The sequence below is a fragment of the Homo sapiens genome, chromosome 20 (assembly GCF_000001405.40).
Source record: "Homo sapiens chromosome 20, GRCh38.p14 Primary Assembly".
NCBI classification, from domain to species: domain Eukaryota; kingdom Metazoa; phylum Chordata; class Mammalia; order Primates; family Hominidae; genus Homo; species Homo sapiens.
The window spans coordinates 47,021,649-47,036,157 of record NC_000020.11 but is presented as its reverse complement, the minus strand read 5'-3'; the positions used below and the strand labels follow the sequence as shown (position 1 = coordinate 47,036,157).

At 44.4% G+C, this 14,509-nt stretch overlaps 1 protein-coding gene across 5 annotated transcripts in view, besides 1 other annotated feature; it reads right to left on the bottom strand.

Moving 5' to 3' along the window:
- EYA2 (EYA transcriptional coactivator and phosphatase 2) overlaps positions 1 to 14,509 on the bottom strand; it is a 294,002-nt gene that overhangs the window by 152,687 nt on the left and 126,806 nt on the right. The gene's annotated exons all lie outside the window — the stretch shown is intronic.
- Positions 477 to 976: an enhancer, noted in NCBI's record as "H3K27ac hESC enhancer chr20:45663821-45664320 (GRCh37/hg19 assembly coordinates)". NCBI's record gives its function as "activates a minimal SCP1, AML or CMV promoter by ChIP-STARR-seq in primed H9 embryonic stem cells {active_cell/tissue: H9 hESC(primed)}" and the evidence as "EXISTENCE:reporter gene assay evidence [ECO:0000049][PMID:30033119]".

Below are 14,509 nucleotides of genomic sequence, written 5' to 3'. Positions count from 1 at the left end.
TCTCAGTTTTCTCATCTGTCAAATGGCAACAACTTGCTGCAAACACTGAAGTGGTGACCAAGGGAGTGAATACTGGCCAAGTGCTCAGCCTGGTCCGTGGTCCCCAGAAGCCCTCATTCAGCGTGAGCATTGTTTTTTCTTTCTTTTGAAATAGGGTCTTACTCTGTCACCCAGGCTGGAGTGCAGTGGCACAATCACAGCTCACTGCAGCCTCGACTGCCCAGGCTCAAGTGATTCTCCCACCTCAGCCTCCCAAGTAGCTAAGACCACAGGTGCACGCCACCACACATGGCCCCCTTTTTCTTTTTTTTTTTCAGAGACGGGGTTTTGCCATGTTGCTCAGGCTGGTCTCGAACTTCTAGTCTCAAGGAGTCCTCCTGCCTCCGTTTCCCAAAGTTACAGGTATCAGCCACCAAGCCCGGCCCAGTATTAGCTATTTTTATGATCATTCAGCACCCATCACTACACTGACCATTAATTCATGGCGGCCCTGATTAGGCTTGTGGTCACTAGGTATTTGTCAGACAAACACTGACTATTAGGATACATTACTAAGCGTCACTGCCTCAGGGTCCCAAGCTGCCATTAGAGAGAGGAGAACAGAGGTGCACGCTGGAGAGACATCTATTATGATTTTTTTCTTCCCCTTCGGGAAGGGGTGGCGGGTGGTGGCAGACAGAAGGGGCTGGTTTTAAAACAATAAAGTCAATTTGGTACGGTCTGCTTCAGTGTTTTGAGATCTTTGAAAGAGATATTGTGTGGCTATGGGAGGGGGTGGCTGGGAAGAAGGTTCTATTTATACTTAAAGAGGGAGCCCTGACCTTTGCTGGCATTGGCCTCTTGCTGCCTCACTTGCTGGGGCCTAGACCATCTTTGCCGCCACCGTCTCAGACTGAGACTAATACAAGCCAGCTGAGCAGCAGGATCCTTGACCGACCTCTTTCACTAGGGTGGTTTCAATTTTTGCTAAGCCCAGCCAGCTCAGGGACAGGACGCAGTTCTTGGCTCCAAGCCTCTTGCAGCTCAGCCAGGGACCCTGGTTGGGTGATGTCGTGGGTAGAGTTGCGTCCCTTGAAAGGCTATGTTCATCTCCTAAGGCCCAGTAGCTGTAAATGTGATCTTATTTGGAAACAGTGTCTTTTGCAGATGTAATCAAATTAAGATGAGGTCATAATGGATTAGGGTGTCTTCATAAGAAGAAGGAAATTTGGACCCAGACACACAGAGAGAATGCCATGTGGTGATGGGGGCAGAGATTGGTGTGAAGCATCTATAGGCCAAGGATTGCCAAGGAATGCCTGCCACCACCAGAAGCCAGGAGAGAGGCATGGGACAGTCTCCCTCTGAGCTTCCAGAAGGTACCAACCTTGCCAATGCCTTGATTTCAGACTTCTATCCTCCAGAACTGTGAGACAATAAACTTATATTCTTCAAAGTGACCCAGATTGTGGTGCTTTGTTATGACAGTCTTAGGAAACACATCCAGGCAATTCTGTTGACTTACTGGCATTCCTCAGTTTTCCTTTTAACTTTGGTGGGGACAGGGCCTCGGGCACAAGGATAGCCTGGCCTCTGAATTGCAAAGTTGGGGATCCCTCCTCGCCTTGGTCCTGGGAAGCTGGTTCACCCACAGCAAAGCACATCCCCTCTCTAAGCCTCCACTTGCACACTTATGCAAGGAAGATATTGAACAAGATTCCTGCATCCAGACTCTACTCATCTCCCTGCCCCCACACAGTTTTTAAATATCCTCAAACTACCTGGCCTATTCTTTTATTTAATATTTCCCTTATATCAGCTTAATGTTGACTCACATTTTTGCGAAACTTACCTGTGTCCTAAGCCCTATCCGTATAATCATTCACTGTTTTTACTTAAATAAATTTGTCTGAGAAGACTTTATATTATTACTGTAAATAGAAAATCAATACCACTTGCCATTAATGATAAATACAAAACACAAAAAATACATAGGGAACAAATGTTTTTAATTCTAGCCAAATACTGTTGTCTGCCAAAGACCTTAAACCTAGGGTTTGCTCTCATCTTGTTAAAAAGAAGTATTTGCAGGGATTAGAGACACATTGAAGATATATCAGCATCAAATAGAGACTTCCTTCCTCCCTTTATCACTGAATCAGAAGGGCTGAAAGATGACAGAAAGGGGAATGACTTCCTCACTATGTGACCCAATGACTTTGAGTGCCACTTTCATGTTCCATGTAAAATAATCTCTTGTGCCAATAAATTAGTCAGGAGAGGTTATGGTATGATGTGGTAACAAACATCCCCAATATCCCACTGGCTTGAATGCAATCAAAGTTGATCTATCTTTCATGCTATATGTCCATTGAGAATCATCAGGGACTATGTTCACTGGAGTCACTCAAGGGCACCAGTTAAAGGAGCAGCCTTCAATTTGAACACTGGCAGAGTCTTGTATTGGCCATTGAATGCTCTGGCCTAGGCATGACATGATCATTTCCACTCTCAGTTCAGTGGCTAGAATTAGCTGACTGCCTCTCCCCGACACCTTGCCTGCAAGAAGGGCAAGAAATACAGTCCTGCCACTCTGGGTCATTGTGTATGATTCAGTGTCAGGAACAGCACTAAAGGCAGCCATAGCAACTCACCCAGGCCCCGGGATGGATTGACTTAGACCAACTCATATCAGGAGTTGGCAAACTATGGTCTGTGGGCTGGTCACCTGTTTTTGTAAATAAAGTTTTATTGGAACACAGCCATGCCATTTGTTTATGTGTCATCTATAACAATGTTCACAGTGCATTGGCAGAGTTGAGCAGTTGCAACAGAGACTGTATAGCCTGCAAAGCCTGAAGTTTTTCCTATTTGGACTGACCCCTGACCTAGATGATCTCTATCACCCCTTCTAGAAATACACTTCTGGGATCCTGGGTTGTCTCTAGTAGGCTTCGGTATTTGCCTCCTCTTGGCTCTCTTCTCTTGCTCCTAAGCGATCAAAAATACTCCACTGACCTAAAGGTCAGGCAGCCGGCTAGGGCTCACCTGCAGCAGCAGCTGGGATGGCCCTGAGCTATGGTCTTGGGGGTTGCACAATCTTTTTGAGCTGCCAGTTCTTACAGGCTGCAGTTTAGGGCTGGAGTAGCAGAGATGCAAAGTGTGGCGAGACCTGGCGAGGCCTGCTGCGGGAATTGGAAGGGGGCCCTGGTTGCCACAAAGGGAGACACATACGGGGACAGCAAATGGCTGCAGCAACCAAAATTCAAGATTGCAGGCTTCTCTGTGAAAACAGTGAAATGTGGGAAGTTTTGTCCATTTCAAGGGGAATGGCTAAATGCCGTGGTATATCCATAACACTAACCATGATAGCCAAAGCAAGGAAGCACTTGACTTTGTCCCAGGCTTCACAAAAGCTACTCCTATAAACCCCATTTCACAGATGAGAAAATCAAGTCTCACAGCCAGTGAGTGCAGAGGCGGAGATTCAACCCCAGCATCTGGCTTTCTCGATGCAGTACTGCAGCGTCTGCAGAGGCCAAACAAGAGACTAAAGTGGGTTTGTTTGAACCGACTTTGAGAGATCTCCGAGACATGTTAATTGGCGAAAAATATAAAAGACAACTTATAAAACAAGATGCACACCAAGATATTACTTGTGTTTAAAAAAACAGGATTTTCTACTGGTGAGAAGAAAAATAAGCTCGTAAATGCATACATAGAGAATGTTCTGGAAAGATACACACTAATAGCACTGATGTGGTTTAAAATAAATGTATGAAAAATAAAAAGCAGTGTAAGAAGGCAGGTGGATTCAGGACTAGGGGGCTAAGCTGCCTTCCTGGGACATGTGTAAAGCTACTGAATGGGAAATAATACAAAAATCAGGAATTCCCTGCATGTTCCCCGGGCCCAGGGAAAGAAGCACATAACTCAAAGGTGGGTGGAATCTGGACTCTGGTCCCCGCTTTACCACCTGAACTTTTAGGAGCAGCAAAAATCTGGTTTGCTTTAAGGGTACATACTGAGCATCCCACAGCCTGGCTTCTGTCCTGGCTGTGCCTCCTCTCTGAACTGAGGAGTTGCAGGGTCTGTGTGTCTGTCTGTGCCTCTCTAATAAATGGCTCCCTGCCTGAGGCTGTATTTCCCCTACCCCTTAATTACCCCTTTCAATTCCTGAACAGAAGGCTGGGCTGCCTGGGCTGGGAGCAGGCTGCTCTCCTTTTATCTCTAAGGAATTAGCAGGGCAGGGACTTGTTCCTTGGATAGGACTCTGCATTTTTTGTGTGTTTGTACTGGTTTTTAAAATTTGGTGCATTTTTTTTCCTTTTTCTCATTCCACTCCCCTTCCCCCACCCCTGCCCCTGCCAATGATCAGATGGCAGAGAGATTTCATCTATGACTTTTCAACAAATTGTGCAGGTGCAGACCCTGGTTGTGGGCCCAGTTCTCATTTCATCGAAACGTCAGAAATAAAAATGATAAACAAATGAAATAAGAAACAAGTGACACAAAAGCAACGTCATCAAAGCCGTGCTCTGGGCCTTCATTCCTCTGGGAGTAAAAGGATAAGTTGTAATAATTCTAGAATTTTCTGAATGGGGTCACTGAGATCTGGCAGGCATTGTCACAGGTACACTTGTGAATACTGGCTTCACTGTGTCTGACCTAGAGAAGCGGAGGGGAAGGGAGAGCTAGGGACAGGTCAGGCACTGTCTCAGGACAGAACTCCCTCCTGGCCTCCTTGCAGCCCTTGCCATCCCCCCATAGTCCACTCATCCCAGCAGTCAACTGGTCTTTCTGAGATGCAAACCAGATCACCTGCCCTGTTTTAGAACCCCATGGCTTCCCGGTGCCTGAGCACCGGCCAACTCATTCCCCACCCCTCTCCCCTTGGCTCCTCAGCCACTTGGCCTCCTATCTGCTGGCGACACTTGTGACCCATGGCTGGCTCTTCCGAATTTGCAAGTGCCAGCTCCACTGTCACTTCCTCAGAGAGCCTGGCGTCCTTCCTGGTTTCTCTTTGTTACATCTCCCTGTTTATTCTCCTTGGAGCACTCATCACAGTTGACATCATCTTGTCATTTGCTCATTTCCTTACCCACTGCGTGTTGCAACTGAATTGTGGCCCCCAGATTCGTTATGTTGAAGCTGTAACCCCCAATTGTGACTGTATTTGGAAACAGGGCCTCCAGAGTAGTAATGAAGATTAAATGAGGTCATAAGAGTTACAAGGTAATAACTGGTGTCTTTATAAGCAGCAGCAGCCTGGTGTGCACCTGTAGTCTCAGCTACTCAGGAGGCTGAGACGAGAGGATCGCTTGAGTCCAGGCATTCGAGGTTATAGTGACTACGATTGCACCACTGCACTACAGTCTGGGCTATAGAGCAAGACCCTGTCTTTCAAAAAAAGGAGACACCGGAGATTTCTCTCTCTGTGAACCCAAAGAGGAGAGGCCATGTGTTCACAGAGCGAGCATATACAAGCAAGCCCTCACAAGGAAGAGAATCTGCTGGCACCTCCATCTGGGACTTCTAGCTCCCAGAGCTGTGAGAAAATAAAGTTCTGTTGTCTAGGCCACCAAGACCATGGTATTTTGTTATGGCAGGTTAACTAGACTCATGCACCGCCTGTATCCTCCCTGGGATATAAATTCCATGAAGGTGTGGCTTGACTGTCAGCCTGGGGCTGTGTGGCCCATGCTTAGCATGCTGCCTGCAACAGAGCCTACGCTGGTGAATGTTTGCTGAGTGAATGACAGATGTTCATTCCTACACCACAGCCACCTCTCCCCATGCCTGAACCTGCCACTGTGTAAACCAGTGGTTGGGTGGCTGCAGTACCCCTAGGGGGTGCCTGGAAATTCATGGGGACACTTTTATTGGAGGAACTAGTGGCATTTAGTGGGCAGGTGACAGAGGTGCAGACATTCTGCAATGTGTGGAGAGTCCAGCAAAAGGAAGACCATTCCCAGGTCCCACCTGACTTTCAAATATCCAACCAAACATTCAGGCAGATAAGATCTGGTTTTAATAATATGACCCTAGAACACAGAGCTCAGCCAAATCCAACCCACCACCTGCTTTTGTAAATAACACTGTCTTGGAAGACAGCCTTGCCCATTCGTTGTCGTATTGACTATGGCTGTTTTCAATCTACAATGACAGAGTTACGAGTAATTGGGACAGAGACCTATGACCCTCAAAATCTAAAATATTTACTCTCTGGCTCTTTTACAGAAAGTTTGCTCACCTCTGTTCCAACACATCAGTCCATTTTACAAGCAGAATTTTTTTTCAGGGCTTTAACATACATAGAACTTTGTAAGAATGCTATTGTAATATGTTCAATTGTAACTGTACTGTGTTCAATAATTCTTAATTGAATATTTAACGATGTTCAATTATGTGTTGTAGAAAAAAGAAAAAGAGATGGGGTGAATGAAACTTGGAAGAAGTGTTATAAAAACTTAGTGAGTAGGCAAGGAGCTTGGGTGATATGGGCAAAATGTAAAGATGTGTTAAGTATAGAGAATAAGGAAGTTAGTAACCTTGTAGACAGAATGAATGGGAGGTATGAGGAAAAGGATGTAAGAGACAGCAGTGCTACTTATAGAGGAAGGGGTAAAAGGAGTAGGTAAGCCTTAAATATGAAGAAGGACCTGATCATGCTTCCCCTGCAGATACAGTTATGTCAACCCCAAATTGGCCACCCACTGGTTACAACCATTATGGCATCATTCTGGTTCCACCTGTCTTCTGCCCTGAAAATATGGATAAAAGCCATGGCTGCCCATCAAAGTAACTGGCGAGCTACAGGGTGGCCAGGCAAAGTTGCCACAGCATGTCTTCGATAAGCTCCTTCTATGGGCTGAGCCCTTGTTCAACTTCAACTCTTAATTCTAGAAACCACGCCATCATTATTCTTCCAGCTGATGTGGCTGAGACAGGACACATCCATAACCTGTGGCCCTTCTGCCTTCTTACACCCTGTCCTGAATATGCTAACCCCCATTTCTTCCCCTTCTGAGCTCAGAGTCCCCTGCCTTCACATCAGTTCTCTCCATGGTCATGATAGAGAACACAGTTAGCAAAATGGCAGCCTGTGGGCTGAATCCAATCTGTACATGTGCTTTGGCTTGCACAGTAAGTTTTATTTTATTTTAAAAATTTGTTGCTACCAATTTAAGTCTTTTTAATTGGGAAATTTCTTATAAAAGATTTCTGGCATTTGTTTTTTTTTAATTTAAATTTTGAATAATCTATGGCATCGCAATAACCAGCTTTAATGGGGTGGGGCTACCCCGGTATATAGGGCTGGGGCTCCTTAGTTTGCCACAGGGCCACCCAGCCATCTTCACACACTGACCTTGTGGGCTGGCTCATGAGGCATCTGGATCTGTGACCAGTGGCAGAGTGAAGAGCACAGGCTTGGAGCCAGACAGTTGCAGACTCTGTCTTGGCCCTGTGTCCTAGAGCTTTACAGGTACAATTTTACATGTGTTGTGCCATCATTGGATTATTGTCCATCTCTCATCCCTGGTGTGAACTCCAGGGGGGCAGGGACTGTATTTGTCTTGCTCACCTCTGCTTTCTCAGCACCTGGCACAGTGCCTGGCACAGAGGAGATGCTCCCTTAATATCTACTGGGATGACGGCTATATGAAGGCACCAGCTTCTGTCACTCACCAGCTCCTGATGCCACACGTAGACCTGCTTTGCTTTGAAAATCCGTCTGATAGTGGGGGCAAGAAGAGAAGAAGGTGAAGCATCTTCAAAAGAGAAACAAACAAAATGCTCAGGATATTAGCTTTTCCATTTCTGCTTTTGCATGTCTAGGAAAAACCTACTGTCTTAGTGCAGGCTGCTGTCACAGAATGCTGTCACCTAGGTGGCTTAAACAGCAGACATTTATTTCTCATAGTTCTGGAGTCCAAGAAGTCCAAGGTCAACGTGCCAGCTGGTTGGATTCCTGGTGAAGGTCTTCTTCCTGGCTTGCATATGGTCACCTTCTCACTGTGTCCTTGCATGGCCTGTCCTCAGTATGTGCATTCAGGGAGAGACAAGGAGGTCGAGATCTCTCTCTCTCTTTCTTTTTATAAGAACAGCAATCCCATTCTGAAGACCCCACCCTCATGACCTCATTTAACCCTAACACCTCCCAAAGGCCTCATCACCAAAACCCATCACATTGGAGGTAACAGCTTCAACATATGAATTTTAGGGGCGGGAAACAATTCAGTCCATAACACAACTTAAGAGTTAGCTTTGAAACATTGCTTAGACCTGTGCTGCCCAATAGAGTAGGTGCATTTACAATTAATTAAAATTAAACAAAATTAAAAATTCAATTCCTCAGTTGCACTAACCACATTTCAGTGCTCAGTAGCCACCTGTGGCTAGGGGCTATCACGTTGCACAGCCACTCAGAGGATTTCCATCATCACAGAAGGGTCTGTTGGACAGCACTGCCTTAGCAAATTGCTGTTGAACTAAACTCCCTCCTGATCCCAAACTCATTCTCAATCTCTCCAGCTGTTTCCGCCTGTTACCTCCAGTGGCTTTTGGAGATAGGGGTGACCAAATCTAACTTGTTATGTAACTAGAGGAAAGACCCTCCATTTAAACTCTATACGTTCTAAATTCAGAAGACTTTAGCTCAAGCAAAAGGCAGCAAGCCTGCCAGCACACATGAAGGGGAGGGGAGAGTGACCCCCCAGGCTGGAGGTGTTGCACAGGGGCGAGAATGCTGACATGCATGGGGAAACTTCACCCACTTCATTGTGTGCAGAAGAGTTGCTGATTCACATTAGGGAACTCGGCCTCAGTCCAACAACCCATAGGATGCCAAGACTGGCTCCTGTCTTGACCGATGCAGTGAGATCAGGAAGATTTAGACTGCTCAAAACTGGCTGGGCTGGGACAGCCTGAAAGATGCCATCACCGGAGAGAAATAGGGAAATGACTCCATTTCACCATGAGGAGGCCACTGGGCTCCACTCTCAACTATGGCCACACCTATCACTCAAGTTCTCTGAAACATACCTCACTGATGAAATAAGCCAGAGGTGGGGGAACCCAAAGGAGGTGATCTGTGTGGTTCCCCAAGTCACCACTTAGCTTGTGATTTGCCCCATCTAGACATCTCGGGACCTGTGGTTCAGTTAAAATATGGAGCAAGACTGCAAGATGTGGGCATGAAGCCAGCCTTATACGTGTTTGTATGCTTCACAAGGTGTTTCAAAGAGAGTGTATATCAATTGTCCATATTGAAAAAGAATAAGGAGATTTCACATTAAATAGAGTTTTAGGGATCACTTTGAAAAATGGAAAGATGTGGTCTCCTTGGGATCCATTCTAGAGGGGCAGCAATGGGCTGAAGCCAAGTAACACCCCACTATCCCCAGCGTTGGTGGGGGGTTTAGTCTCTAATTTGCTACAGTTCCCACCACTCCCTATAACCCTATATCTAGCTCATGTCTCTCTTTTACATTACTGCTCGGCCCTGTACTATTTGAGTCTGAAATCCTGATTGAGAAGAACCACATCCTGGAGCAGGTTCAATCCATAGACTAGTAGAATCATTTTTGAAAAAGTAACATTTCTTTGTGATTTCAGATGTAAATATTTCTTTTCAGTTTGTCATTTTGTTTTCTTTTTTTTTGTTTGTTTGCTTGTTTTTTGTCATTTGTTTTGTTGTTTTGACTTCTGGTGTTCTTTGCCGTGCCAAAAAAGAAAAAAAAAATTCTGTAGTTGAACCTGTCAATCTTTTCATTTATGGATTTTGGATTTCTGAGTCCTGGTTAGAAAAGCCTTTTCCACTCCAAGGTTATAAAAAATTGTGCTTATTCTCGTTCTAGTATTTTTATGGTTTTATTTTTAACATTTAAACCGTCAATCCATTTGGATTTGTTTTCTGGTAGTAGGAATGGATACTTTTCTCCAGATGGCTAACTAGCTGTTCCAATGCCATTCATTCAATAGTTCATATTTTCCCACTGACTCAAGACATCACCTTCTCCACGTACTAAATGTGTGGGTCTCTCTCTGAGACCATTTGTTCTCCTCTATTGATCGGTGAGTGTATTCACACTAGAAGCATGTTGCTTTGATTATTGAAGCTTTATGATATGCTTAAATATTGGTATGCCTAGTACTTAATTGCTTTTCTTTTGCAAACTTTTAAAAGTCAAATCTCCTGGTTCACAGGAAAGGAAATACAAATCAGTCAAGGGTCTGAAAAGATGCTCAACCTCACTTGTGGGACAAGACTTAGAAATTACTACTGCCCTGAGACACCATTTCTTCACGCATCAGATTGGCAAAAACTTCAACCGTAAGATGACACTGGGTCGATGAGTTTTTGTGAAAACAGGTACTACTCCCAGACACTGCTGGGGGGAGTGTAAATGGGTAGAATCCCTATGGAGGGTAACTTGAAGATATCTACCAAATTTAAATATAGACTTGCCCCTTGACCCCAACTCCTACTTTTTGGAAATTTGCCCTTCAGATATACTTATAAAAAATAATATACATATAGGGGTTTTCATGACCATTTCGGAGGCAGTTGCAAAAGAGTAGAAACAGGCCAAATGGCCCCCAGTAAGGAACTGGCTCAATCATTTATAGCACATCATTCAATGCAATAATAGGCATCTATGAAAAAGAATGAAGAAGCTCTTTCTATATATTGACTTAGCAAGTTCTTTCCAAGGTATATAGCTAAATGAGGAAAACGAAGTGCAGAAGAGTGTGCATAGGATGTTATCTGTGAAAAGAATATAGACAAGTGTTTCTGCCATCATGTGATAATGCTTTCTTGAAAGGCCATGAGTTATGCAAACCTGTGCACTAAAATCAGAGAGCTTATGGGAAGAAGTAGGGTTACAGCTGACTGCCCCACAGCAATGCCACTTTGTAACCAGAGCATTAACCAAAGCAGTGACAATCCCAGTAAAAATGATAGCATGGTGAAAAAATAAAAATGTAAATAATAAACTGAGAAGCATTACATTAAATAGAGATCTTTGCTTTTAAAAGGAAGTGAAAGTATCTTGATGGAGGTGATGAAGAGATGATGGAGGTGCTGAATTATGGAAACAAGGGCAAAATGCATAAAAATTGGCAGGAATTGCAAAATTAGTTCTCCCAAAATAGAACATGTAACCAAACTGAGGAAGAGGAAGAAGATAGGGCATTCTGAGCAGAACTGTACTCATACCAGGCTTGCTGCATTTGCTTGTGTTTGGTATTTTACATTCAGCTGCTGTTAGCCCATGCTCTGGAAAAATTACAAATGAACCAATGCAGTGGAATTTTCACTTCTGGCCAAGACTGAGTAACAAGGTCTGGATTTACCCTCCCAGCTGAAACAGTTTGAAAACTAGGTTTCCAAGACATTGGGCCTTAGGCATGGACAGTGATCCTTGCAAGAGGAGAAACAGATGGTGAGCTGTATGATTGCCCCAGGATAGAGTTTCCAAGAAGGGAAAACCCAGGTGGAGGCCCGTGGTCTCTCTGAGCTGGGGAGATGGAGCTGCAAGTCAGCGGAGGCTAATGTGGCTGGAATTGGCAGAGCAGAACTCCCAGAAAAAGAAAGTTGTGCTGGGAGCGCTCTGGAGGTTTGCTCACAGTTCCCCTTGAGTGGCCACCTGAGAACTGATGAGCACATGGGTGTAAGGAAACTACCCAGGGCTGAGAGAGAACCACTGGAAAAGATCAGAAGCAACAAGCTTCAGAGCTCATAATGGAGCTGGGAATAGTTCCTGTTCCCACCTGCCAGAATTGCAGAACCTCACAATTCATGGGGCATTGGGTAGAATACTCAGAAGGGTTTGCCTCAGTAGTGGGAAAAATTTCTCCTGGACCAAACACTGCTCTGATCCCAACTGGCAAGGCTGAAAGCAAGACTCAAAAGCATTCAACAGTTTCTAAGTAACCTAACTGCATCCCAGAACAAAGCTCAAAAGTATTTATAGGAATATAAAAATATCCAGCATCTGACAAGGTAAAATTTATGTTTGGCATCCAATTGAAACTTATCAGGCATGCAGGGAAGCAGAAAAATATGATTTTCGACATGGAGAAAAATCAATGAAAATGAACCCAGAAATGACAGGAATGATAGAATTAGACACGGACATTAAAACGTTTACTACAACTGGATTCTATCTGTTCAAGAAGCCAGAAGAAAGATTGGACATGTTAAGTAGAGACATGGAAGTTATCAGAAAAAGACCCAGGCTGGGCATGGTGGCTCATGCCTGTACTAGCACTTTGGGAGGCTGAGGTGGGCAGACTGCCTGAGCTCAGGAGCTTGAGACCAGCCTGGCCAACATGGCAAAACCCCATCTCCACTTAATATACAAAAATTAGCCAGGAGTGGTGGTGAGCACCTGTAAGCCCAGCTACTCAGGTGGCTGAGGCATAAGAATCGCTTGAACCCTGGAGGCAGAGGTTGCAATGAGCCGAGATTACGCCACTGCACTCCAGCCTGGGTGACAGAGCAAGGCTCTGTCTTCAAAAAAAAAAAAAAAAAAAAAACACCCAAAATCAAACTTCTGGAGATGAAAATGATGTATGGGATGAAAAATGACATGGATGTAATTAGCAGCAGATCAGATACTACAGAAGAAAAGATTTATGAACTTGGAGTGGGAGGTAGTGGTGTGGAACATCAGACAAAAATTTGAAGAAATATTGGCTGAAAAATTTCCAAATTTGATGGAAATGATAAATCCACAGATCTAAGAGTCTCAATGAACACAGAGCACGAGAATCATAAAGAAAACTACATCAAGGCACGTAACAACAACAACAGTGATAGAGAAACCCTTAGAAGCAAATGAAACAATGCAACTTCCGAGTTATACTAACATAGTTTTCTTATTTATGAATCACGTCTGAACTAATTCTTGTAATAGTAACATACAATATAATAGACTGCTTATATTTTACTTATGTTTGCAAAAAGATGTTCTGGGTGGGTTCCCACGAAATTATTACAGTGGTTAATTGTTAGGGGTTTGGAAACGGGGTGGATGTAGCATGAGGGTAGAAGAAAGATTTCCACAGATGCCCGAACTAGGTAAATGTGTAACCTGTTTAAAAAATTCATGTGTCTTTTTTTTTTATTACAAAAGGAATATATCGGAGGGAGGGGAACTAAGGAGTGACGCTAATGGACATGGGGTTTCTTTGCGGGGTGACAAAAATGCTGTGGCATTAGATAGTGGTGATGGTTGCACAATTTTAGTGAATATACTAAAAACACTAAACTGAACACTTTAAAAAGGTGAAGTTTACCAGCCTATGCAACACAATGAAACCCCGTCTCTACAAAAAATAAACAAAATTAGCTGGGCATGGTGGCAGGCACCTGCTAGTCCCAGCTACTCGGAAGGCTGAGGCGGGAGAATCACTTGAGCCCAGGAGGCAGAGGTTGCAGTGAGCTGTCATCGCACCACTGCACTCCAGCCCGGGTGACAGAGACCCTGCCTCAAAAAAAAAAAAAAAAAAAAGGTGAAGTTTAGGATGTGAGTTATATCTCAGTTAAAAATTAAGGCTGAGCACAGTGGCTCATGCCTGTAATCCCAGCACTCTGGGGGGCTGAGGTGGGCGGATCACTTGAGGTAAGGAGTTCGAGACCAGCCTGACCAACGTGGTGAAACCCCATCTCTACTAAAAATACAAAAATTAGCCAGGTGTGGTGGCAGGCGCCTGTAATCCCAGCTACTTGGGAGACTGAGGCTAGAGAATTGCTTGAATCCAGGAGGCGGAGGTTGCAGTAAGCCGAGATCATGCCATTGTACTCCAGCCTGGACGACAAAGTGAGACTCCATCTCAACAAGAAACAATTTAATTAAAACACAGGAAAAAGAAAAACATACATGTTCATTGTTTAAAACAATAGAAATTCAAAGAACGTTCATAAAGGAAGGGTCCTAAAAGATCATGACATCCAGGGCTTCTCAGTGACCACAGAACGAGTTTGGACGGAGGGGCCCTCATCCCATCTGCCTGGGAAAATTGCCTCCTGAATTCTATTCCTGGAGAAGTACAAGGCACAACAGCCTGCAAAGGCTCTGAAAAGTCCTGTAGCAAAGATGTCTATTTTAACTTTGTGGCATGCACTATTGACTAAACGTATTTGGTATGTATGACCATGACCCGCCCCAACCCCTTTATTTTTTCCTGGAACTCTTGTTAGCACTAGAACTGTGGAACACAGATCATGAAGGCTTTGTGACTTGTCCAAGGTCACACAGTTTACTGGTGGTAGATTTCATGAATCTGACACAGAGACTTTCTAAATCCAACACAATCCAGTCTCGGAGGTCTCGAGCTGAGATCACTGAGTAACAAGTGCTTTTACTGAACTTTTAATTTCCTACACATCCCTGAATTGCACGATTCTATGTTGCTCCTGAGTGGCTGCTGGAGGGGTTCTAAGCTTCAGTCTTTATGTTCCCTGGCCCTTCATAAATGCAAAAAGAGTTTCCACTGGATAGGGATCCCACTGTTTTCT